General features: G+C 35.3%; 1 annotated feature.

The window, feature by feature from the left end:
• Positions 837–1037: a silencer, noted in NCBI's record as "peak4340 fragment used in MPRA reporter construct". NCBI's record gives its function as "represses an SCP1 promoter by STARR-seq MPRAs in K562 erythroleukemia cells {active_cell/tissue: K562}" and the evidence as "EXISTENCE:reporter gene assay evidence [ECO:0000049][PMID:32103011]".

Below are 1790 nucleotides of genomic sequence, written 5' to 3'. Positions count from 1 at the left end.
ATGACTACTTTAGCTCTTGATGCCAAGCATGATGATGTTTGGTTTCAGAAGTTGCCACATTAACTTCTGATTGAAGTTAACTACAGATTGATTCAATCTGTAGCATGATTGAAGCTACAATCATGCTAACCAATTTTGACAATTTTATATTTTATAGGGCCTAGTTCTAACATTCCACTGTTATTTAATTTTATAAATATTTTTTAAAATCTTGTTACTAAATTAAAAATAGACCTCTGGAAAATAAATCGAAAGGTTTTTTTGTTTTTTGTTTTTTGAGACAGAGTCTCACTCACTCTATCACTCAGGCCAGAGTGCAGCAGCCTGATCTTGGCTCACTGCAACCTCTGCTTCCTGGGTTCAAGCGATTCTGCTGCCTCAGTCTCCCAAGTACCTGAGAATACAGGTGCCCACAACCATGCCTGGATAATTTTTGTAGTTTTAGTAGAGATGGGGTTTTGCCATGTTGGCCAGGCTGGTCTCAACTCCTGACCTAGGTGATCCGCTCGTCTGGGTCTCCGAAAGTTCTGGGATTACAGGCATGAGCCACTGTTCCCTGCCAAATTAAAAGTTTTTGTATGAAAAAGATATACACAAAGCAAAGATACTTTTACAGTATGAAAGTGAATTATAATTGAGAAAAATATCTGCAGGCCATAATAGAATAGTTCTATTTCAATAGTTTGCAAACAATTTGTTAGTTCTGCTGAATAAAAAAATTTCCAACACTTGTTAAAATGGTTAAGGATCACTTTATTTAAGATTAAAATGATAGGTGTCAAGATGATTCTAATAGGAAGAGAGATAAGGTTCAACTCTGAACACAGCAAAGATATCTGGGAAGTGCAGCTAATGAGCAGAGTGAAAGGTTGTCGATGAATACAAATTACTAAGAGGAGACATCAAGGGTAGGGGATTTCTTGTTAGCTAACGTAAGAGGATTCTTGCTGACGGCAAGCCAGAGTGATCAGATATCAAGAGTGGGAGATTCTCTCTAAAGTGACTTAGCAGCATTCTTGCAACAGCTGGACTAGGCAGTGTAAAGACAGGGCCCAAGGACAAAGTAGAGTCAAAAAGAGTGCTCCTAGAAGCCTGACTAAAGCATAGACAAGAAGAAAGTCTTCATCAGTTCAAAAGTCACTTTCTATACTTATGATTTGGCCATGAGCATTCCTATCTTTACTTAGTTTGGAGGAGTGGACTCAGCAGCATGTATGTTATGGGAAAAAAAGAGATTCAGAAAAATTACTTACATAAGTTTGAAAGGCAAGATGAATCTGGCCATATGGTAAAATCCAACAGAACTCTTCTGGTTATGAGTAATTTGTAAAATAATTCATACATTGCCCATTATATGCGTTAGATATATGTAAATTTTACCATGCTCATTCTTCAGAACAGAAAAAGTGAAATACAAAGGCAAACATGGTAAAGCAATTTATTTTAGTTTTCATGAGAAGTTGTTCTTCTAGAGTATGTTATATGACTCTATGCCCTCAGTTTGAACTCTCATTGAACCATATCTAAATTAACTAATAAAATGAACTTTGAATTACATATGCCACTGTGTGCAAATTAACATTCATTGACTGTATGTGTATGTAAATATTGGCCAGTAAACAGAGCCATTTACATCTTCATAAAGAGAATAACATTTCCAACTAAAATTCCTTCTAAAATTGGACTCATATCAATTGGAAGTATTTCAAACAATTACTAAACTGATTTACTTGGACAAACATAGAAAATATTATCTAAGCTATGTGTACCTATTTTTTATATTCCTAGAA

This window comes from Homo sapiens, chromosome 21 (genome assembly GCF_000001405.40).
Source record: "Homo sapiens chromosome 21, GRCh38.p14 Primary Assembly".
Taxonomy (NCBI): Eukaryota; Metazoa; Chordata; class Mammalia; order Primates; family Hominidae; genus Homo; species Homo sapiens.
Note: the sequence above shows the minus strand (reverse complement) of the source record. Positions and strands in the feature narration are given on the sequence as shown.